The 25,510-nt window shown below is 39.4% G+C and overlaps 1 protein-coding gene across 5 annotated transcripts in view, besides 1 other annotated feature; it reads left to right on the plus strand.

The window, feature by feature from the left end:
* DOCK11 (dedicator of cytokinesis 11) overlaps nt 1-25,510 on the plus strand; it is a 190,333-nt gene that overhangs the window by 58,955 nt on the left and 105,868 nt on the right. For all 5 annotated transcript variants that reach the window (XM_005262368.5, NM_144658.4, XM_011531276.4 and 2 more), the window contains exons 7-14: nt 6,614-6,748; nt 11,236-11,413; nt 11,805-11,884; nt 13,310-13,393; nt 17,554-17,694; nt 19,037-19,249; nt 23,756-23,878; nt 25,328-25,410. In XM_005262368.5, coding sequence (XP_005262425.1) covers nt 6,614-6,748; nt 11,236-11,413; nt 11,805-11,884; nt 13,310-13,393; nt 17,554-17,694; nt 19,037-19,249; nt 23,756-23,878; nt 25,328-25,410 — 1,037 coding nt within the window. The remainder of the gene's footprint in view (nt 1-6,613; nt 6,749-11,235; nt 11,414-11,804; nt 11,885-13,309; nt 13,394-17,553; nt 17,695-19,036; nt 19,250-23,755; nt 23,879-25,327; nt 25,411-25,510) is intronic.
* Nucleotides 2,497-2,791: an enhancer, noted in NCBI's record as "tiled region #12264; K562 Activating DNase matched - State 5:Enh". NCBI's record gives its function as "activates a minimal TATA promoter and a strong SV40 promoter by Sharpr-MPRA in K562 cells {active_cell/tissue: K562}" and the evidence as "EXISTENCE:reporter gene assay evidence [ECO:0000049][PMID:27701403]".

Consider the following 25,510-nt stretch of genomic DNA (forward strand, 5'->3'; position numbering starts at 1 on the left):
GGTGAAGCTCAGTAGTCATGGGAGATGAAGTTGATTTGGTTCTTTGGTATCACCTTGTGCCTCCATTTCTCTTCTGTAATATGGAGGGCATAACAGTAATGACCACATAAATTGTTACTAGGATTCAATGAAATAATACAAGGAAAGCACTTAACCAGAGACCATAATGCACAAAGCACCCCACAGATGTTAGCAATTGTTGTTATTTTATATTATTAGGATTGTGGGAGGGCCTTGAATGCAGTATCTGGCATGTGTGCCTTATGTGAGTAATTGAGAGTCATTGATTATTTGAGCAGTGACATGCTGTGCTGAAATACATCTGATAAAATAATTTGTCTGTAATGAGAAGGGTGGATTGTAGACCCCTCCTACTAGACTTGGCTTTAAATCAAATAGTTGAACTCTTCAGTGCCCAGATACGGTAGAATTATTTAAGAAAAGCTATTTGATTTTTACTCAGTTTCTCAGTGGGTAGGAGAGTGTCATATATTAAAACTTGGGGCCAGGTGTGGTGGCTCATGCCTGTAATGCCAGCACTTTGGGAGGCCAAGCCAGAAGGATCACTTGAGGTCAGGAGTTCGAGACCAGCCTGGGCAACACGGTGAAACCCTGTCTCCACTAAAAAGACAAAAAGCTTAGCCGGGTATGGTGACACACACCTATAGTCCCACCCACTTGAGAGGCTGAGGTGGGAGGATCGCTTGAACCCAGGAGGCTGAGGTTGCAGTGAGCTGAGATCGTGCCACTGCACTCCACCCTGGGCGACAGAGTGAGACTTCATCTTGAAAAGAAAAAAAAAAAACAAAATAAACTTGATAGGACTGTAAATGACATGATGGAGAGAGGTGAGTGATATATCAGGTTGCCAACGTAGTGGTAGGGGTTCTTTAGCAGGATGAAGTTCCTGGCATTCTGGTGTCATTACTGCAACTCACTTTTCTAAGTCCTGTGGTTTTTTTCCCCATTGTTTCTTTCATTTTTGTGCAGAACAGTTCTAAGACCCAGTATGTCTCTGTCTCTCCTGCTTTCTCCTTTTCCTTGCTGGCTCTTCCATTGTGTTCTGTCTGAGACATTAGGCAAGTTCCCCTACATCATTTCTACATTGCTCTTGGCCTACCTACTCTGCCTCTAAACCTTTGATGTATCCTTTCTAAGGGCTTCTGGTTCATGCAATTTAGCAGTAAATAATTACCCCTCTAGGTAACACACAATAGGTAAACGCTCTTGGGATTTGCTGTATAAAATGATAAAAGGTTTTCCTACTTTCTTTTCTTTCTTTTTTTTTTTTTTGACAGAGGATCTCGCTCTGTCTTCCAGGCTGGAGTGCAGTGGTACAATCTCTGCTCACTGCAACCTCTGCCTCCTGGGTTCAAGCACTTCTCCAGCCTCAGCCTCTCAAGTAGCTGGGATTACAGGTGTGCACCACCACGCCCAGCTAATTTTTGTATTTTTAGCAGAGATGGGGTTTCACCATGTTGGCCAGGCTGGTCTCGAACTCCTGACCTCAGGTGATCCACCCGCCTCGGCATCCCAAAGTACTGGGATTACAGATGTGAGCCGCCACCCCCAGCCATTTTCCTACTTTGAGGATACTAAGTGCTCCAACTTTCCTTCCTATGTTTAATCTTTGATGCAGCTGAATGACAAAAGGCCTTTGTTCCTGCTCCAGAAGGGGTTCAAAAAGGTTGTCATCTGGCCAGGCACGGTAGCTCACACCTGTAATCCCAACACTTTGGGAGGGTGAGGTGGGTAGATCACTTGAGGCCAGAAGTTCAAGACCAGCCTGGCCAACATGGTGAAACCCCATCTCTACTAAAAATAAAAATAAAAAAAAATTAGCCAGGCGTGGTGGCATGCACCTGTAATCCCAGCTACTCGGGAGGCTGAGGCAGGAGAATTGCTTGAATCCGGGAGGCAGAGGTTGCAGTAAGCCGAGATCACACCACTGCACTACAGCCTGGGCAACAGAGCGTGGCTCTGTCTCCGGAAAAAAAAAAAAAAAAAAGTGTGTCATTCCAACAGCTTGGGGCCTTAAGCACACTTGGCAGGACCTGATCCTATAGAATCAAATCCTTTGGCTTGCTCTCTGTTTTATTGTTGTGGGTGGTCTGAATGGGCCACTCTTCAGGATCTGTGTTCCTCACTGAGTAAGGTGGGGCATTTTCAGCTGTGTTCACCATCAAACAAAAATAATAAAGACGAGGAGGAGGAGAAAGAAGAGTGTGGGCATTACAGAGAAACACAATTCTGTTGTATGAAACCACTGGAGAATCTGCTGGAGAATCTTTGCTGGAAATGGGATTATTCATTCATTGTTTATTAATTTTGAAACATTTTATTGAGTCCAGGCATTGTTATAGGTACTGGGGGGTTAACAGCAGTAGATGAAACATGAAACTTCATGGGCTAGAAAGAGACGGCAAATAAAACAGATAGATGAATAACATATTTGTATAGGGATCACTCCATGAAAAAGACATAACTGGGTGCTATGATGAGGGCAGGTGGTACAGAAGGCCTCCCAGAGGAGGGGAGATTGAAGCAAAGACGTGAAAGGAGTAAGAAAGTAAACTGTGTGGATAGTGAGGAAAGAGGATTCTAGGCTGAGGAAACAGGAAGTACAGAGACCCAAAGGAGCTTACTTGAGATATTTGAGTAACAGCAGATAAGCCAGTGTAGCTGGAGCAGAAAGATTAGAAATAGAGTCCAAGGAAGGCCGGGCGCGGTGGCTCATGCCTGTAATCCCAACACTTTGGGAGGCTGAGGTGGGTGGATCACGAGGTCAGATCGAGACCATCCTGGCTAACATGGTGAAACCCCGTCTCTACTAAAAATACAAAAATTAGCCGGGCATGGTGGCGGGCGCCCGTAGTCCCAGCTACTCAGGAGGCTGAGGCCGGAGAATGGCGTGAACCCAGGAGGTGGAGCTTGCAGTGAGCCGAGATCGCGCCACTGTACTCCAGCCCGGGAGACAGAATGAGACTCTGTCTCAAAAAAAAAAAAAAAAAAAAAAAAAAAGAGAAGAAATAGAATCCAAGAAGTAATCTGAGGCCAAATCCTGTGCAGTTTTCTGGGCTATGGTGAGGATTTTAGATCTTACTGTAAAGTAAGATGGGAAGCCATTGGAGGATTTGGGCAAGATTCTCTTTGTAGCCATTATCCTATTCTGATTCCAGTTCTATCAGTGACTTGCCTGTGTGAACCTTTTTTTTTTTTTTTTGAGACGGAGTCTTGCTGTCTCGCCCAGGCTGGAGTGCAGTGGTGTGATCTCGGCTCACTGCAGCCTCCGCCTCCCGGGTACAAGTAATTCTCACCTCAGCCTCCCGAGTTGCTGGGATTACAGGGGTGCGCCACCACGCCTGGCTAATTTTTGCATTTTTAATAGAGACACGGTTTCACCATGTTGGCCAGGCTGGTCTTGAACTTCTGACTTCAGATGTTTCACCCACCTCGGCCTCCCAAAGTGTTGGGATTAGAGGCATGAACCACCGCTCCTGGCCGCCTGTGTGAATTTGAATGAGCTCTTGATCCCTCAGTTTGCTGTTAGGTAAAATGTGGATAATGATACTTACCCCAAGAGGCATTAAAAGAATTAGCTATTGGTTACAAAAGGCTCGCAGCCTTCAAATGACAGGTATGATATAGAGTAATTACCATTATTCTGTATAGTCGTTATTTTAACACCTGTCTTCTTTTAGAAATGTAAAAAATATATATAAACTTATACCCTAAGTAGCTGCATTGTGGAAATTTTTTAAATGTCTAGGAAGTTATGTTTCTGATTTCCCTTTGATTTCCATGAGAGAGATTTAGGATATTCCTTTCTTCTTTGCAAAAGATATCTTAAAAGCTTCTCAGAAGTTGAAACCCAACATATATCATAAAATATTAGAATGAGAAGAGACCTTACAATTTGTTGTTGGGCAGAGTCTGATTTCTACATAGAGATGACTTTTAAAAATATTCCTTACTGTCCAAACTGTGTGTTTCTAGTGTATGAGAAATCACATGGGGAGAGTAGCTTCCAGGCTAGGAAGGCTGCTGTGTTATTTGTTCAAGTTGAATGAAATTATTTGTAGATTGTGGAAAAATATGATCTTACAGATCATCTCGTCTGATGTCATCATTTTACAAGTGAGTAAACTGAGAGAAGCAGAGTCTTGAGGACAATTTCACTGCTGGTTAGCAGGAGATACTGGCTGAGAATCAGTATCATAAGACTTTCAGGCAACTGCTCTTTCTGAGTGCTCTTTCAGGCATCATATTCTCTCCTCAGATTCATAAGCTACCTACCCTAGTGTCACATTTAGATATAATTGCAATGTTAGAGGAAGTGATTTGCTGTAATTTCATATCCCTTTCCATGTCCATTGTAATGATGCACTTTGCTAATATGGGAAGTGGTGGCTGCCACAGAATTTCTTTGCTTGGTGAGGCAGCTGTATGTGAAAAAAAAATTTCTCAGACTATAATTTGACTGTATGCCACAAATGTTTTGCTCTGTATTTTCTCTTCTTCTGCCTCTCTCTTTGTTGCTGGCTGTTGACTCTGCAAGTGGATTCTGTAGGCTGTCCCACTGAAGCAGCAGAATTTCAGTTTTAGATTTGAACAATTCAAATATAAATTTTTTCATATTATTTTTTTCATGTTACTTTTGGCCTGAAAGATGTATTCTAGTTTTGTTATAGATAATTACTGTGATAACTTTAAAAAGCAATGTGTTATACAAAGTTAGTGTTCATTACATGTTATTCATTTGAAATGACCTCAGCATGTAATTTTAAGCCTTCTATTCCCATCATTTTAATGAGAGATGTGAACCATTGTCATGAAAATAAGCAAATAGGCCAGGCAGGGTGGCTCACTTTTGGGAGGCTGAGGCAGAAGGATCCCTTGAGCTCAGGAGTTCGAGACCAGCATGGGCAACATAGGGAGACCTTGTGTCTACTAAAAATAAAAATAAAAATAAAGAAAATAAGCAAACATGCATATATAATCACCATTATGATTAACATTTTCCTTTAATATTAATCTAGATTTCTTCCAGCAAACTTAAATGTAGATTAATTGAATATGAGAATATATGTATATATTCTCACATATATGAGATATGTACATATATGAAAGATATAAATATACCCACACATTCTCTTTCTGTTCCTTTGCATACTAATACAATAACATTTAATTGACTGGCATTGCAAAACAAGCTGATGTTTTCTGCTAGGACTCTTTTCTGTTGATAGCACGTAGCCCACATGGCCCCTTCCCGAGATAGAAGCTGTAGCATTTATCAGTCTAACCTGTTAGGGTATTCCTTACACTGATATATATTTTTGTCATTCATTAAAAAAAATCAATGATATTTATACAAGTCAAAAATAAATATCAATGTTATTTATTTTTACTGGTTTTTCTAAAAAGAAATGTCCCTTAAGGCTTTTATATATTTTGCTTGGTCATGCTATGGAGAAATAAATTGATGTTTCAGGTACTTTGCCAGACGTTAAGTTGTTGGCAAGAACGATCTTGCCAAATAATACTCTTTCCATAATTAAAGTTCTCAAAATGATCAGGGATCATATTGGATAATCAGATGGGTAATTAAAAATGACCAGCTTAAATTTTAAAGCCAGGTTCTTCGAATAAGACAAGATGCATAGGAATGCATTTCCTCAATAATCACCAGGAGCTGCTCTTCCCATCTCACCCTGAAGTGACTTCAGATCTGTCATCCTGGGAAATTGCAACTTGAATAAGCTCTGCCTTTCACTGTGACAATTGCTTGACATAGCCTGCAGTTTGTGACTTACTGAAAGAAGCATCAATTCATCAGAGAGCTCCTAATCCCTTTTCTCACCTCTTTTATCAGACTGTCAAAGTCTGTTTTTAGGGGAGAATAGAGGGACAGCATGAACTCATCAGGCAGTCCCCAACCTTTTCCTGTTCCTGTGGGCTTTGCTGTGAGTTGTAGCAACAGGCTACTCCTTAACTATTGTGAATCCCTAACTCCAAACAAATGGCATAGTTCCATTAGGCCTGTTGATTTAAAGCTCAGCACTTGGGGCACTCGACAACAACTGGCAGGCAACTAATGACTCTGTGCTTCCCTGTGAGTGCCCTGTAAATTGGACTTTCAGAAGCAAAGACAGTGGTACAGTGTAGATGAGTACATGTGTAGGTGAGATGGAAATATGTAATGTGGGTATATGTATATATGTATATATATGCTTTTTATGTTTATTCTTGGATTCGTGGTAATAGAAACCAAATTAAAATGATGTAATCATGGTTTGCAATTAAATGGGAAAAGAATGCTATAGTGAAAGGGTCAGGAGATTCAGATATCAGAATGCTTTATACATTTCAAAGTGTTAAGTCTTAATTATTGTTCTCTAGATATTTGATTAACTGAGGGTAAATCATGTGATTTTCATTCACTATCTTAGAAAAATGAAGATAATGATAATTCCTAACATCTTGTCAGGGTTGTCTGAAGATTGTCCAGGCACAATTGCCTGGCAAGCTTTTGAGGTTTTTAGTTCAGAGAAACTATTCAAATGCAATGTATATGTAACAAATGTATCATTGCTGGGTTTTCCCCATGTAGGTATTCAAGAGACGATATTTTTACTTGACCCAACTTCCTGACGGTTCATATATTCTCAATTCCTATAAAGATGAGAAAAATTCAAAAGAATCGAAAGGTTGCATCTACTTGGACGCCTGCATTGATGTTGTTCAGGTAAGGCCATTGAGGTAATCCTTCTCTTTTTCTAACAGGGTTATTGATAAACTTTTAAGAACCCCAGATGGTTGGGTGGGGTGGCTTATGCCTGTAATCCCAGCACTTTGAGAGGCTGAGGCAGGAGGATCGCTTGAGCCTAGGAGTACATCAGCCTGGGCAACAAAGAGACCCCATCTCTACAAAAAAATACAAAAATTACCCAGGCATGGTGGCACATTCCTGTGGTCCCAGCTACTCTGGAGGCTGAAGTGGGAGGATCACTTGAGTCTAGGAGGTTGAAGCTGCAGTGAGCTGTGATTGCACCACTGCACTCCAGCCTGGGTGACAGAGCAAGACCCTGTCTACAAAAAAGAAAAGAAAAAGTGACTGGTGCGGTGGCTCATGTGTATAATCCCTGCGCTTTGTAAGGCTGAGGTGGGCAGGTCACTTGAGGTCAGGAGTTCGAGACTAGCCTAGGCAACATGGTGAAACCCCGTCTCTACTAAAAATACAAAAATTAGCCAGGTGTGGTGGCACGCACCTGTAATCCCAGCTACACAGGAGGCTGAGGCAGGAGAATCGCTTGAACCCAGGAGTCAGAGGTTGCAGTGAGCCAAGACGGTGCCACTACACTGCAGCCTGGGTGATGGAGTGAGACTCCATCACAAAAAAAAAAAAAGGAAAGAAAATGAACCTTGGCATTTTTCCATCTTGATTGATGGCATCTCCGTCCTCCGAAACATCTACACTAGAAAGCTCAGAATCCTCTTCAGTGCCCTGTTCTTGCTCAGTGCCAATATTTAAATGTTTATCAAGTCTCTTTGAGTCTGGCTCTAAAGTGCCTCTTAACCTCTTACCTCCTACTTTCATTGCCCTTTCTCCAGTTCTCCCTTTTATCATCGCTGGCCCAAAGTTGCGCTTTTATGCCTCCTGATTTCTTGTCTTGCTCCAGTTCAACTTCCTAAGATATAGTTTGGGTCAATCATTTGCCTTCTCCAAATCTTTTGGCTCTTGATTTATTGTCTTACAGAGTGAACTCTAAAGCTTTTGCCCTGACATTGAAGGCCCATAGTGATTTGGCCTCACTGTGCTTTCTAGCCTCATCCTTCCTGAACCCCCTTGTGTATTCTGTGCTCTGGTCACACCAGGCTAAGCATTCTAAAGCGTTGCACACATATATGGCTTGCCTTACATTTTTTTCCTCTTCTTGCTATATATAATTTCTCCTTCTATTCCCGTTTGAACCTTATCTTTTATGACTCAGCTTAAAGGCTACTGCCGTGAAAAGTTTTGTGTTTCCTTCCTCACCCTCGTGACTACCAAGTAGAATTAAGCTCCACCTCTCCTGTGCTAACCATTTTGCTTTTCCTTCTGTCATACAACTAAGTCACATTCTAATTTTGGTTAATTCTACACATTCCTTTGGGGATTACAGGGACCATCTCTTACTCATTTCTGTTTCTTCTATAATTACCAGGGTTCTGCACACAGTAGGGACTTAATGAATGTTTGTTGATATGAATTACTGAGGGGACACAGACAGAAACAGGATGGGAAGTAGAGGGCTGAGAGATGATCTGGATGGGAAGTCAATTGACTATGGAACAGAAGTCATTATTACAGAGCCAGGGTGGTGTGGTGGACTAGAAGAACAATGGGCTGATTAGGAGGAAAGTGATGTTAGTTCAGCACCCTCAGTTTACCTAAATCTTCATTTTCAGAACTGTGAAGTGGGATTAGTAGTATCTGTATACTCTATCAAACAAGATTGTTGTGAGGATCAAATGAGAAAATACCTTTAGGGCATGATGTTGTGTGCCTGTAGTGCCAGCTACTCAGGAGCCTGTGGCAGGAGCATTGCTTGGGCCCAGGAGTTTGACGCTGCAGTGAGATATGATCACGCCTGTGGAATTAGCCAGTGCACTCCAGCCTGGGCAGCACAGTGAGATCTCATCTCTAAAAAGATAAATTAAAAAATTCTAACAAATGAGAAAACACTTTTTAAAAAGTATAAAGCTCTATGTGAATAAAATGTGCTTATATGTATGATTATATATTATATATTCATATATATGAATTCATATATATTCATATATATAAAGAAGAGCTTTCTTACTGGAAGAACGAGGCACACACAATTTCCGGATTGACCTTTCTTTGTAGTGCTTCCCTCATCTTTTTATTTTTATTATCATTTAAAAAATTTTTTTCTTTTCTTTTTTTTTTTTGAGACAGAGTCTCACTATGTTGCCCAGGCTGGAGTGCAGTGGCGCAATCTCAGCTTGCTGCAACCTCCACCTTCTGGGTTCAGGCGATTCTCCTGCCTAGAGTAGCTGGGATTAGAGGCACCCGCCACCATGCCTGGCTAATTTTTGTATTTTTAGTAGAGATGTTGTATAACTTTCTCCTTAGTTCAGTTAAAACCAGTTCTTGTCACATAACCAGGAAAGATTAGGCTTGTGGACACATAGAAGGGTGAGAAGTGGAATTTACTGGGTGAAAAGGAAAAATAACTCTCACCAAAGTGAGAGAGAGTCCTGCTAGCAGGTTTCCCACCTCACAGATTAAAGGTTTTGCCGGGAATCCTTGGCTGTCTCCTGTCTCTGTCAGAGATGGGGTTTCTGCATGTTGGCCAGGCTGGTCTCAAATTCCTGACCTCAAGTGATCCGCTCACCTCAGCCACCCAAAGTGCTGGGATTACAGGCGTGAGCCGCCATGCTCAGGCACCTCATCTATTTATGATACCGCCTCCCAAATATTTTCAAATGTATAAATCTTTATGACTTGATACAGCAGTTTAATTTCATCCTTTCGTAGACTTCAAAGATTAGAAGGAGGAACTTTCTTGGTTCCTTCTTGAATAATGACCATGCAGTGGAAAATTATTGATTCATGAGCATTTCTTGAAATTAATGCTGAGGGATTTGAAAAGGGTAGTATGTCATTTCTTTTTTCATGACAGAGAAGGTGGTAAAGTAAAAGAATGTATCAGCAAGCTTGAGAAAAGGAGGAGACTTATTTTCCTTGTGTGGTGGTATTCAGCACAGGTTACTTCCATGTATTTTATGGAGAGTCACAATTTAATGTGAACCAACTATGGTTGCATGGTCTTATTTTTTCTTTCTTTTTTACCAAGCCATTCTTCTTCTTCTTTGCTTGCTTGCTAGCTTTCTTTCTTTCTTTCTCTTTCTTTCTTTCTGTTTCTTTCTCTTTCTCTCTCTCTCTTTCTCTCTTTCGTTCTTTCCTTCTTTCCCTTCCTTCCTTCCTTCTTTCTTTCTTTCCTTCTTTGGAGTCTTGCCCTGTCTGGAGTGCAGTGGCATGATCATATCTCACTGCAGCCTTGCAGCCTTGAACTCCTTGCTGCAGGCAATCCACCTTAGCCTCCAAAGTGCTGGGATTACATGCATAAACCACCATGCTGGGGCTTCTCTTTTTAATTTTTAATTTTTTTTTTGAGGCAGGATCTCACTGTGTCGCCCCGGCTGGAGTGTAGTAGTACCATCTTGGCTCACTGCACCCTTGAACTCCAAGGCTTAGGTGATCCTCCCACCTCAGCCCCACGAGTAGCTGGGACTACAGCCATGCGCCATCACGCCTGGCTATTTTTTTTTGTATTTTTTTTGTAGAGATGAGGTTTCACCGCTTTGCTCAGGCTGGTCTCAAACTCCTGGGCTTAAGCAATCCGCCCACCTCTGTCTCCCAAAGTGCTAGGACTACAGGTGTGGGCCACTGCCCCCATCTTTACTTTTTTGTTGCTATGGATATGGAATATTTCTACATATTTTGGGGGTACATGTGATAGTTTGATACAAGTATACAATGTGCAAATGATCGAATCAGAGTAATTGGGTTATCCATCACCTCAAGTGTGTATCATTTAATTGTGTTAGGAACATTCCAAATCCACTCTTCTAGTTATGTTGAAATATACAATAAATTATTGTTAACTATGGTCGCCCTATTGTGCTGCCAAACACTGTGGTCTTCTTTTATACTATTGTGATACAGTTGATACTATGCGTGGTAAAATGAGTTAGGATCTATAGTGCCTTTTATGGTGAGATATAAATTTATCAGATTTGTTTCAGGTCATATTTAAATTTTTTAAAGTGCTGACTTTGAAAATCCTTAAATATTCAAGGAAAAGTTTGAACGGAGTGGAAATTCTAAAATGTTTGCTTACTTTTATGGTGGTACTTTGATTTTCTGAATGTGAAGGATGCCAAAAGGCCTTAAATGATAATACTTAACAAGTATTGTTTTCTCCCAACTTTATACATATTCATACTACTGTGCTCAGTCCTGAGGGAGGGGAACAAAAAATATATTTAACATGGTCATTTGTTGTCTTAGAGTGTCTGTTTCTTACTGAAAGAAGCAGTTATTTCATGAAAGTCTTGACGCACATATGCACTAAGCTGAGATAAAAATAAATATAAACTAATGAAATCTAATAGTAAAAGGACAACTAAACTAACTGAACACATACTTTTTCTCCCCTCTAGTGCCCCAAAATGCGCCGTCATGCTTTTGAACTCAAGATGTTAGATAAATATAGCCATTATCTGGCTGCTGAAACTGAGCAGGAAATGGAGGAATGGTTGATAACTTTGAAAAAGATTATTCAGATCAACACCGACAGTTTAGTTCAAGAAAAAAAGGAGACGGTAGAAACAGCACAAGGTCAGAATTTTAAAGTGATTTATTATTGAAGTAAAGCCCTTGTCTTTAATCCGTGGAAATGTCCTCTGTGCAGGGTGAGTAGAGAACTCTTAATCTTAAAAGTTGACCTGCTTCTTCATTAATAAGTGACTGTGGAGGTTGATAGACTTTTTTTAAACAGTTGATGCTGCATGGGCTCTGACATATGAAATATAACCAGACTAAAACAGATAGAAAATTCATGGCAGGTTTTCAAAAGTCCATTAAAGTTTTCCCTATGCTTTCATAATAGAAATTCTTTGCAATAAATCTTGTAGGAGAGGATGGGTGGGAGAGATAGTTAGGATACTCCTCTTAGGTTATTAGTAATGGTCTGTATGGTTTAGAACATCTGCTTTTAATGAATTTGCAGATGATGAAACTAGCAGCCAAGGAAAAGCCGAGAACATCATGGCAAGTTTGGAAAGGAGCATGCATCCGGAACTGATGAAGGTACATCTTTCATATGGCAACTTGCCTTCAACTGAGATAATGCAGGATTAGCTATTAAAGTTTTAATGCTGGATTCCATTTGGCAATGTCATTTCCACGTTAAAAACCACAGCAAATTGGTGAAACAGGTAGAGATTGTAAAAGAAAAGTTGCACTCCTGAAGACTAACTTGTAAGTACCAACTGACAGTTTGGAAAAATCTTATTTTTTTCCAGACACCAAGAAATACTTCCAGGCTTTTGTGACTTCATTAATTTTATCTGCTAGTTCTTATTTAATTTAATTACTGTATATCATTCATAAAATATTCTTCTTCCAAAAGGATAATGATGCAGCTCATGCACATGATATTTAATCTATGACCAACATATGTTAATCTCACATGAAAATCATATTCTCTATATGTAAATATATGTGTATATGAATGATTTAATCTGATAAAGATTTTGGTGAACATGCATCATTTTTGTTATTTACTCTGCTGTTTGAAGTTTGAAATGAACCAGTTTTGAAATTGTAGAGATGATTGTCCTGAGTATCTTACCACGATACTGTATTCTGTAGACTCTATATTATAGTAGATTAGAAGGTTGTGACCCATTTATTCATTTAAATCATTGCCAAATCTATTTATATTTTTACTTTATTCATCTTACTGGACAAATTAGTTACACAAATTTGGAAGCTCCTTTTTTTTTTCTATTTTAAATTTACCCCTCATAAACTTCAAAGCTATTTTTCAAAATTTAGGGACACAGTCATGATCCTCTAATCTAGGATTTTTTTTTTTTTTTTTTGAGACAGAGTCTCACTCTATCGCCCAGGCTGGAGTGCAGTAGCACGATCTCACCTCACTGCAACCTCCGTTGCCGAGGTTCAAGTGATTCTCCTGCCTCAGCCTCCTGAGTAACTAGGATTACAGGCGCCCACCACCACGCCCAGCTAATCTTTGTATTTTTAGTAGAGACAGGGTTTCACCTTGTTGGCCAGGCTGGTCTTGAACTCCTGGCCTCGAGTGATCCACCCACTTCGGCCTCCCAAAGTGCTGGGATTACCAGCATGAACCACTGTGCCTGGCCTTATCTTATAAAATGATTTTATAGATTTTAGTTGCATTCCCTCTCAATCTTTGTCATCCTGGATTGTGCAGCTCCATTAGGTATTTCCCAAAGTGATGGAATCAGAATTACATATAATATTCTATAGCTAACATAATGGCTATGAAAACTATGGTGATTTCTCTTTTGTTTATTTCTCCTTTGCATCCAGAGTCTCTTGCATTCCTGTTTTGTACTGACTACAGGATGAATGGTATATTTTTGAAGCTGTGACAGATTGATAGTTTCACATAAACTATACATTTAAATAGTATTTAACACTGTTTTGAAGGAAATGAAGTAACATACTTATTTTTTAAAATTTTAGTATGGAAGAGAAACTGAACAACTAAACAAACTCAGTAGAGGAGATGGAAGACAGAATCTCTTTTCTTTTGATTCAGAAGTTCAGGTATTAATGATACATTTCTTTAATAGTCCTAGAATTATTGCTTATTCAGATAAACAACATCTTTGAAATGTTGAAATCACTGTTTTTCTTGCACCAGTGGGGAATATAGATTGTTTTATATTTGTCTTGTTTGCTTTGAACAGGTAACTTAACAAATAACTCTTCACTCAAGGGGACTGTCACATATGCAGATAATTTGGGGCTGAATTATATATATATATATATATATATATATATATATATATATATATATATATATATATTTCTCAGTTTCTTGTATTCTTTTCACTTCCTTTTGCTCCTCAAAATAGATAAATTAAAGCACCGTTAAAGATGGTTACAGTGTTCTTTTAGCCCATGAAATACAATTGTGATCTAGTGGCAGAAAATATCTCCAGTATAAAGAACATATGAGTCATATGAGACATTTATTTTTCACATTTGATGTAGGCCTGTAGAACTAGGATAATTGTCATGTCTGGCTTAATCACACTTTAAATGGAGGGTGGTGCAGGAAGGTGCAGGTTTATACGCGGATGTGTATTTTAACCTCTTTCATGAGAGTTAGATGTGTTTTGTAGTAAGATATATGCAGTTAATATTTAAGTCTATGACATTTTCTAATTAAGTTTTTAATTTGTTTAAGTGGGAAAGGTCTACAGTATTTAAGTATTACAAATATTTTTCCTAATGGAAAATACCTTTTGAAAAAATGAAATTGAGGAAGACGAAATTTTTTGGCTTTCTTTTCCCTTTTTCTACATGAGATTTCGAATGAAAATTTTTTATTTAGTTTGAAATCGGAAAATGTGCATTACAGTTTTTTCTTCCACGAAAATATGAAATAATTTGGGGAAGTCTGATTTTGTTGTTGTCGTTTTTTCTTCTTTCTTTCTTTCTCTCTCTCTCTTCTTTCTTTCTTTCTTTCCTTTTTTTTTTTTTTTTTTTTTTTGAGATGGAGTTTTGCTCTTGTTGCCCAGGCTGGAGTGCAATGGCACGATCTCGGCTCACTGCAACCTCTGCCTCCTCAAGCAGTTCTCCTGCCTCAGCCTCCCGAGTAGCTGGGATTACAGGCATGCACCACCACGCCCGACTAATTTTGTATTTTTAGTAGAAATGGGGTTTCTCCACATTGGTCAGGCTGGTCTCGAACTCCCAACCTCAGATGATCCACCCGCCTTGGCCTCTCAAAGTGCTGGGATTGCAGGCGTGAGCCACTGTGCACGGCCTCTTTTTCTTTTTTTAAGTGTAGTCAAGTACAGTAGTGACAAGGGGAGAAAGAGTAGAACAAAAAGTTCAATATGTAATTGACTGAACAATCAATTGAGATAACTCACTACCTTTGGGCCAGCCATTGTTGTTTTTTTCTTTTTGCTTCATATGGTTTTCTAATTAAAAATTTAGTTTAAAATAGAAAAAGTATATAGGCTATAAATAATGCAAACATTTTCCTTAATGAAAGTATCACACAAGAAAATGGAATTATTTGGAGAAAATAAATTTTAAAAAATAATTTCATTTCCCTTTCTCCCCCCACGGAGTTAAATATTGCTTTAGTGCAAGTTATGTGATTTTTTTTTTTTTTGTAAAAAAGTAACAGTATAATGGGCCTCAGGGATGTTTGTTCTAAGATATTCATTCAGAAATTTACTTGTTCCAAGCATGTCTGAGTCTTTGATCCTCCCACCCATGACTGGGCTCTAGTTGGACGTGTTAGGCTGTTTCATTGTATACAAAGGAGCCAACTGACTGTGGTTGAAACTAAATCCAGTATCTTTACAAATTTGTGGTGTAGCGTTTTTGTGGTAATAAAACTGAACTGGTTTTATGTCTGAGTTGTTTATCAGTGAGCTATGGTAAGAGAGAAATTCACAGTTGTGATGAAGCTTTAAGGAGAAGAAATTGAATGTAATGTTGGTTATGGAAGGCAGTGTCGCCTCGGAGAAACCCATGTTGTATCTGTCGAGTACCTTTTCTAGGTGAGGTGCCATCCCATAATTTTACCTTTTCTTTTGGCCATAGTTCATTGTTTAGAGACATGACCTTAGAGAATAAAGAAACACTGGCTGATTAAAGGGGATGGCTCAAACGTAGAGCTGAAGAAGGCCATGTGTCCCAACATTTGTACTCACAGGCCTTAGAAGGGAAAGGATTTGAAGGCTGGAGTGGTTTGGTCCAGTTTCTCTTTCCATTCTACTGTCTGAGTAACACAGAAAGGAGAGCAGATAAATGGGTGGAAATTAAAATTGATCTCCATGGCAATGACTTGCCTCCACAGATGGATATGTGTTCAAGAGGGAGCTGTCTAGTCCCACACATTCGCATTCCTTTTGTAGATAAATAGATTGAAAGGTGAAGAAGTCAAGCTTTCAGGCACAAATCTTACACATTGGGCCCTTTTAAGGAGGTTTCAGTCAGTCATACTGGGTAGGTTAGAACAGCTATAATTATCCAGTATTCTTCAGGCATAATACCTGTTTTGGCTTGAATTACTTAGGTAATTGAGAAAAAATTTTGTGTTTCTTGTCTTGAGTTTTCCATACTGACAGTGTTATTCTGCTCAGATCCACCCAATCATTTTCTGCCTACAATGTCTATGGCCTTAATGAAAGTACAGTAAATTGTCCCCACAATCCACACTTTTCTTCCCCTTTGTGAATAGAATATAAGTCTGTTCAGACATTCAGCATGAACAGATGAACTTAGATTGCCTGAGCAATCTTTTTCTTTGAGAGACAGAGTCCTCCCCTACTGAAAGGAATTCCTTCACACCCAATATCTTCTTCTTAAACTTGTTTTTATTTCAAAATACCAATAATTTTTAAAAATCGATTTCTGTGGCAGCCCAGGTCCATTGCCCAGCTCTGTTAGCTGAGCTCAGTGTTGCTCAGTTTCCTAAGCGGATGCCTCTTACTCTGTTCATAAGTTAAACGTAGGTAGTCCATGGGGTTCCAGCCTTTTGTGCCTCTCAACCTAAATGCTGCTGACTCCCACGTCCAGATCTCTAAGTCAGGCCTCTCCCATTTTTCCAACTACCTACTACCGTCACCACAAACACAACACATCCCATACTGAACTCACCATTTCTACTCACTGTACCCCAAAATCTGCCATTCATTTGTATTTCACGACTAAGTTCATAACATCGTTATCTATTGAATCTCCCAAATTAGAGACCACTGTGTTAATCTTTTTTTTTTTTTTCTGAGACAGGATCTCACTCTGTCACCCAGGTCGGAGTGCAGTGGCACCATCATAGCTCACTGCAGTCTTGAACTCTTGGGCTCAAGCCATCCTCCCACCTCAGCCTCCCGAATAACCAGGATTACAGACCTGCACCACCATGCCTGGCTAGTTTTTATTTTTTATAGAGACAAGGGTCTCACTGTCTTGCCTAGGCTGGTCTCGAACTCCTGGCCTCAAGCGAAATTCCCTCCTCGGTCTACATATTAGTTTTGATGCTTCCCATACCCATTCCTGTCAATTTTGCATCCTGCACAGCTCAAAAACGAAACCAAATTTCGACTGTCCTGGAACATATATTGTGTGGGGAAGACAAAGAATAAACACATATAAAAAGTAATATTAGAAAGATAAATGAGAGAAAGGGAGTATAGACTGTCAGGGAGTGTGCAGTTTTCTATAGGGAGTTAGGAAAGGTCTCCCTGCAGAAGTGTCGACTGATCAGAGACTTGGAAATGAGGGAGCAAGCCATACAGCTATCTGAGGGAAGAGGGTTCCTGACAGAGTAGCAAGTGCAAAAGCCCCGGCATGGGAGTGTCCTTGTTGTGCTGGCAAAATAACCAAGGAGGCCAGTGTGGCTGCAAGAGGGAAGAGGGCAATTGTGGTAGGAGATGAGGTCAGAGCAGTGAGAAGAGACAGGGAATCATGCCATGTAGGGCTTTGTAGGCCATAGTACAGACTTGTGACTTTTCCATTGCCCTTAGATCCGAGTTTCATCATCTCCCTCTAGGATTTCTCCATCACTGTTTAACCTTAGTGTAAAAAGTCTATAAAAGCTTGTTAGATGAAAACATAAAAAGGGTTCAAATGAAGAATGGACAGAGAACTGTTGGATTTTTGCCATTTTTTGTATATTGATGTAAATCAATATGAATCCCATCTTTTTTTGAAAATGATTCATACTATCTCTTTTATAGAGGTTGGACTTTTCAGGAATTGAACCTGATATAAAGCCATTTGAAGAAAAATGCAATAAACGTTTCCTGGTGAATTGCCATGATTTAACTTTCAATATCTTGGGCCAAATTGGAGACAATGCAAAAGGACCACCCACAAATGTATGTATGACTTTGCCTTCTACCCCCCTTGCATCAGTGCATTAAAGAAATGTCTTTCTCAAAATAATTTGTACACCAAACCTCCGTGACATGCAATTTACCTATATAACAAACCTGCACATGTACTCCTGAACCTAAAATGAAAGTTTTATATATATAAAAAAGAAATCTTATTACAATAAAAAAATGAAGAAACATCTTTGTATGACTGAGAACTATTAATAATTGACTGTGTGAAAATTCCAGTGCCACATATTATGATAAATTTGACATGGAAGAATTTTATACATCTCTTTCTTTTGCCAAAATATGACTATGTTCTCATTGTGAGGATTCATGAAAATCTTACCTACTCAGAATAGCAGATAGAGTAGGCTCTTGATGTTCAAGAGGAGCATGTCTCCCAAACTTGCAAAATCTTCAAATGCGTAAATTCTACTAGATAATATGTTTTCTTCTATGAAATTGGTTCGTAGCAATGAGTAAGGATCACCATAGCCATGCTGGGATACAGATGCTGTGCAGTCTGCTAGGCTCGGTCACTATTCTATAGCATTAGATTCATTTTGGTCTACAGAGAAAATTCTAAGTGACAGCTCTCATGGATCATTTGAGTTGCTTAGAAATCCTTGAAACTGTAAGTGTAAAATCTTCAGAGAGACTTTTTTGTGTTCATCTTTATTTTTTCGTTCTAGTTTTGTCTATTAAAAATAAAACAGTGATGAGGGATTCTCTTACAAAATAGCTTAAAAGTACAACAGACTTTTCTGTGTGTAAAGGGTTAATCTTTATGCCATCTGGCATGAAATTTCTCTTTGTGACCATCTTTCAAATGCCATCTGTAGAGAGGAATCATGTCTTCCAAAATTGCTGATAGGGCAAAGCTTTTGTCAAGTACTTTGGTGTTGACTGTTATTAGCGCTTATGAAATGTATAGTCAAGTAAGTTGGAACATAACAGAAGAGAAGATTTATTTCTATACTGTAATATTGGCATTATTTTTTAGGTAGTTTCAGTAAACGTGTAGCGAATAAAATTTTATTCATAGAACAATTTGTGTTATTTAAATGTAGCTTTTGATTTCCATTTTTTTGGTAAACTTTATAACTTGTGAAATTATCTACACCTGACGGAAGTTAAAATTTGATGAAGTCTGTTGTTTTGGAATGCCCTTTCTTCTGTGCAGATAAGCCATAATATAATTTTAGCTAAGTGTTGAACTCAGAAAGGAATTGTAATCACAGAAACTGGAGGAATACAAAACTTATTTTGCACTTGTGCCCCTCCCCGCCATGCCCCCACTAAAGTCTCAGTTTTAAAATGTAACTGTTTTCATTCCCAGGTTGAGCCCTTTTTTATCAATCTTGCCTTATTTGATGTAAAGAACAATTGTAAGATTTCAGCAGACTTTCATGTAGACCTGAATCCCCCATCTGTCCGTGAAATGCTGTGGGGCTCTTCAACCCAACTGGCCAGTGACGGTAGCCCAAAGGGCTCTTCACCCGAATCTTACATTCATGGAATTGCCGAATCTCAGTTACGCTACATACAACAGGTAACGAATGACCTTTAGTCTTAGCAGCGTATTCAGAATAAGAAACAGAAATATTCTTGTATTATTTCATGGTTTCAGGCCAATGTTTTCATGGCATTCTCTCTCTTGTAAGGTCTGTCGATAGAGATTTTTCTGGTTACTGAAGTTTGAGGGCAAAAATGGAAACCAATGAACATGCTAGTAACATGTTATCAAAGGAACATTTTTAATGGGACCATGATGTGAGACACAAGGGAATTATTTTGTGAGATAGAAAGCTGAACCAGGCCAGGCGTGGTGGCTCACGCCTGTAATCCCAGCACTATGGGAGGCTGAGGCGGGCAGATCACTTGAGGTCAAGAGTTCGAGACCAGCCTGGCCAACATGGTGAAACCCCATCTCTACTAAAGGTACCAAAAAAATTAGCCAGGCGTGGTGATGTGCGCCTGTAATCCTAGCTACTCGGGACACTGAGGCAGGAGAATCGCTTGAACCCAGGAGGTGGAGGTTGCAGTGAGCCGAGATCACGCTACACTGCACTCCAGCCTGGGCAACAGAGCAAGACTCCGTCTCACAAAGAAAGCTGATACAGACACCCATAAACACACCTGCACCCACACTCATACATATACTTCTAAGCAAGGCAATAAGTGCTTGAAAGTTTTGGTTTTTAAGAAAAATTGACCCTAAATTAACTCTCCCACCCCTGATTTTCATGTCCATTATGAGTAGGTCATTTGAATGGAGCATATGGGCTCTTTATACAAGGAGTTTTACTTGAAAAGCAATGGGCGGGAACTGCTTGTGTCATAGCTGTAATGCTACACTCTTCTATTCTATCTGGAGCAAAGAATCCCTTTCAGAAAGAGCTTAACTGTTCCTTGGAATTCTGACCTCTGACCAGACTAGAGGCCATAAGAAGTTAGCCGAGTGGATTGATCATTTGCTCGCTAGACTTTTGCAGCTAAAAGGAAATGAGAGCACGGCATAGAATTAAAAGTAGAAAGAGGCATATGAACAAAGCTGTTCATGTTGTAAGGAGATTGATTTTTTTCTAAATAAAAATACTATTCTTTTTTTCCTGATTATAATAAGTACATTCTTATGTAGAAAATTCAAATAATATAAGAAGTATAAAAAAGAAAGTAAAAGTCTCCACCCAAAAGACAATACCTATTAACATTTTGGTAAACATCTTTTCAGACATCTCTGTTGTGTATATAGAAATATATACACATTATGTGTATGCTTATAAAAATTATATTCATGCTGTTTTATACCTACTGTATTCTTTTAATATCATATTTATCATCCTATACCAATATCTATAGATCAGTCATATTTATATGAAAGGCTAACATGACATTTCATTGATTTAGCTACTTAAGACATTTCTAATTATTTGCTATCAGAAATAATGCTGCATTGAACCTCTTGTGCACACATCTTAGCTCATTTGTTGAATTATCTCCTTAGAATAAATTCCAAGCATTAGGATTTTTAGGGTCAAAGATTATGCTGATTTATATAGATGATCAAACATTGGGGAAGACTGCTTTACATGGACTGTCACTGTCTTTTTGGGGCTGTGGATTTCTGGTGGCTTGTCCTCAAGTTGTCCCTTATCCCCTGATAGCCCCTTAGCTTGTTACTGAGACTATAGTTGTCACCTCTGTGAACATTCCACAATGATGGTGGATGCTTCTGAAAGAGGGATGGAGCAAGTAAAGTGTTGTAAATATTTGAGAACTTGCTATTGAATTTTATGTTTAAAATTTCCTGCACAATATCAAATAAGTCATTTTAAGCCAATGTGTATTTCCCGTATTACTTCAGTGTGTAGCACTCAGCTGTATGTTCAATGCAGGAAGTTTAAATTATGATTTCAGATGTCATCCAGTTTGTAATTTGGAACAGGAAGAAAATCAACATTTAAAAAAGATCTCCTGTGTGCCAACATTATTCCATCAGTGTCTCATGTAATCATACTAGTTTGTGAAATGATATAATCACTACTGTTTGACAGATGGCGAAACTGAAGCTCAGGGAGGTTAAGTAAACTGCTCACCATTACACAGCTAGTAGTGGTGACGGTAGGATTTGAATTTAGGTCTGTTTGAAATAATTTGATCAAGAATATTAGACAAATGTAATTAAGTGCCGAAATATATAACCCTAGCACATGCCCTGCCACATCCTGGGAGCTTTGTAAGTGCTGGTGGCTGGGGTAGAGGACCTGGCCCATTTTCTAGCGGGAGGGGCCAGCAAAGTGGGTAAGAGTCGCCCTGGGGTGGGGAGGCATATTCATGCCCCTTGGTGGGAAACAAGGACTGGGCCATAGACCTTGTCCTAAACGGCCAGACCTCCAGCCCACGTGGGATTTCTGGGTTCTCTCTGGCCACCTTTTGCATTCTGGGGACAGGGAGAGGACCAGAAGCTGTTGGGACAAAAGGTAAAACAACCCCAAAGAGTGTCCCCCATCATTGGAATCCCTGGTCAGTTAGAAAATGGACATCTCTGTGCCTCAGCATCCTTATCTGCAAGTGGAGGTGGTGACAGTACCTGTCTCCAAGGGCTGTGGGGAGGCACAAATAAGGTGCGTGGTTCTAAGAAAACACTCAGCACTGTGATGGGCACACTGGGTTAGCGCAGTGCAGCGTAGCAGCCAGGAGTAGTAGCACTGACAGTGATCTCAAACAAGTGAAAACAGCAAGCTTTTATCAATTATCAACTATCTTAAAATTATAGTCCTCATTGCTGGCATCAGTAGGAAATGCTTAGAGTACTGGGAATGGGAAACAATAGGTGCTCAGTAAATGTTAGCTATAGCAATAATCAGTATTACTGTTCTCAAACTCCTGGGCTCAAGCAATCCTCCCGCCTCAGCCTCCCAAAGTGCTGGGATTACAGGCACGAGCCACCACACCCAGCAGTATTACTGTTCTAATCAGGCCTCATCATATGAGATGTTGGGTGTATGGGACTCAGGGCTGAGAGAGAATATAGCATGGGCTGTGTAATCTGGAAGCCTGAACTGCAATCTTCTTCACCCACTTACTCACTGCACAAACCTTTCTGAGCCTCCACTTCTTAATCTATAGAATATGTATATAGTAGTGCCTACATTTCAGGGTTTTTATGAAGACTGAATGAGATAAAGCATGAAAACCATCTAGCATGGTTATGTGGCAGTTAGCGTAACACTGCACTCAAGGTGCACTGCTCAGCATACCTTCTGCAGGGACAGCCCGGGCAGTCTGCCAACCCGTTCAGCCTCACAGCTCAAACAGCATGTTCCCGGCAGTACCCGAAGCCAGGTTCTGTGACCTTGGGATGCTTTGGTGGGCCACCTGGGTAATAGCAAGGTACCTGATGTGCATTACTTCATTTAATCCATACAAGAAATGTATGAAATCACTACTATCCTGCTATTTCACAGATGAGAAACCTGAGACTTAGAGAGAATGTGACTTGCTTAAACCCATAAATGTTGGAGCCAGAACCCAAGAAATTTGACAAGCAATTTTGAACCACTTTGTTCACTTTCTCAAGCAAATTTGAACCACTTTGTTCCATGCTTGCTGCTTGGGAATTCAAAGCTGAATCAGCCATTACGCAGGATCCTTATAAGCTGTTTGACTTGGGGGAAATCATTAGCCTCTTAACACTCAATTTTCTATTCTGCCCTGTCTACCTCCAAGGGTTCTATCTGGTACAAATGAGATAATGTGTCTGAAATGCATTGGAAACTGGAAATCACTATATTAACAAAGTTGGTAATATATCAAGGAAAAAAACGAAATTTTGGTAGAGACTCAGTGATAGATTTTTCCACTTGAATTCACTAGTGATGCCCCTTTAAACAACAGGCATAACCAACTAACATGCTATGTAGATGATATTATATTTGGAAGGAGTCAAACTGGACAGGAGGTGTTCCTGTTCCACATGCATTCAAAGAAAAATGTAATTTTGGTTGCATCTACATTAGTACATTTAAGTAAAGTGTATGGGGACAAAATGAGTTTTGGATTCTCTGTCTCCTACCTTTGCATTGGAAGCACCAGAGCTCTTGAACTGCAACAAAGGAATGTCTTTTAGAGGATGATTTAGTTTTTCTATATTAGAGCAGTAAAGTTTCTTTTTCCTTCTTAGTGGAAATAAATATTAGTTAAATATTAATTGCTCTTGAGTTACATGCAGCTGCATTTAAAAATGTATATCTAGTTCCACTCGAGAAATGTACTCACTTCGCATACACAACCAAACCAAAGAGGCAAAGCAGCAACGGTGACACCTGCGCTATGGAGACTAACAGATGTGAGGTTGGTGACAAAATATAAAATCCATTTTGAAAGGAACGTTGGAAGCTTTGAAAACTCTATGAAAGGAAATTCTATCTATTTCTAGGGTCCTGGACATGATCCTTTGTTGAATATGAACATTGTTTACTAAAAATCGTTAACCATAAACAACCATATGCACAAGATTACATAAGAAAGTCTAACGGAAGTACTTTTTTCCCAGGGAATTTTCTCAGTGACGAATCCACATCCTGAAATTTTTCTAGTTGCCAGAATTGAAAAGGTACTACAGGGAAACATTACACACTGTGCAGAACCCTATATCAAAAATTCTGATCCAGTAAAGGTAATTTATAAAGGTTGTTGATCAACATTTCACCTTAACGTAGAATTTGCCTTTTACTGATATTTTAAATGCCATTGCTTTGAGCATGCTATATATTCTGAAAACATTGTATACTGTGTATGTTTGCTAAAACTTGAACATGGCATATTTTCCTATTGTCATTGATGTTCTGTTAATGTGATAATCTGATTTCTGCTTGATTATCAAAATAAGAGCCAAAAGCTTTTAGGCAACATCTGCTAATTGACACCATATCCTTGACAATAGCCGTTCTTTTCCTTACAGCCCTACATGAAGTGCTAGAATGAATCTCAGAGCTGGGAGATTAAAGATGATCCAGTCCTATAGTTCCCAAATGTCAGTTCATACCCAGATTTACTCCTGTCTGTGATGAAACGAGAAAAGAAAGACAGACAGTGAACATTTCATGAAGCTAAATGTATTTAATTCAAAGGGCTGCCCTTTATTCTGAGATCTTTGCCCTTCCTACTTTTTAAAGGTTATGCGTATCTTCCTTTCATGAAATGTTGGCATATTAAATGGCAGGGATTTAAAAAATTATTGTTGAGTGTCCTTAAGTGGCAATATTAAAAGTTGGCAACCCTATATTGTCATCCAGATTTCTAGAAAATTGTGAAATTGTGAAATTCAAATGTTTGGAAATCATCGCTCTAATCTCATCCTCTCCTTTTATAAATGGAAAAACTGAGACCCCAGGAGGGAAAGGTTCATGGTTGAGTTCATTAGTAGCACTCCAGCTACTGTGTATTTATGTACATCAATCTGTTGTACATGGCATTTTGTTGTATACCCAAATAGTGTTTATTAAATGGAAGTTGCTGATGTGATGGGACTAATTTGTGGAGGAAAAATGTCTCAACAATATAGATAAAAGCCTCCAGCATTCTGTATCCCTAGGGATAAGCATCCAGCCAGCATTTCGAGTCTGTTTAGACTCTATAGGCAGTTTATCTCCTTGTCATCTCCCTGTGCCTGTGCAAACAGCAGCTCCTGCCCACACTTAGACTAATTGCCTTGACTCCTGGTGACTTGCTCCTTGTCTTGGGAGTAGAAAGGGCAGCTGTATCCAGAAAAAACTTCTCCCAAGAATGATGAGCATTTGCCTGCTATGTGAAGTAAAGTACATGTTAAAACCACTGAACATTTTTCCAGTAGAGGTCTTGGTTCAAAGTGTGCCCTATATCTATTTCGTCTGTCTTCTGCTATAAGTGACAGAAGCTCTGTTAATGAGAAAATCCAAAGCCTTTATGAAATACTTTGGACTTGAAAAATGGCTGGCTGATGCATGTTATTCTGCTTGTGGCTATTTCTATATATTTTTTTGAGATTTTTGATGTTTTGTAATGGTAGGTTGGGGAAATTATTTTTCTGGGTGGGTCCATGGCAGTTTGAACAAATACAAGCCTATCTTCTTGTTTCTGACCTTAGACGGCCCAGAAGGTGCACAGGACAGCTAAACAAGTGTGTAGCCGCCTTGGACAATACAGAATGCCCTTCGCTTGGGCTGCCAGGTTTGTACAAATATAATCCTGACCCGCTCACTCGTGTTCATATGTGAAGTTAAGGGCTGTTATACTTACCAGCATTCAGCACTGTGTTTCTGGCAGGCCA

The sequence above is a fragment of the Homo sapiens genome, chromosome X (assembly GCF_000001405.40).
Source record: "Homo sapiens chromosome X, GRCh38.p14 Primary Assembly".
Lineage (NCBI taxonomy): Eukaryota > Metazoa > Chordata > Mammalia > Primates > Hominidae > Homo > Homo sapiens.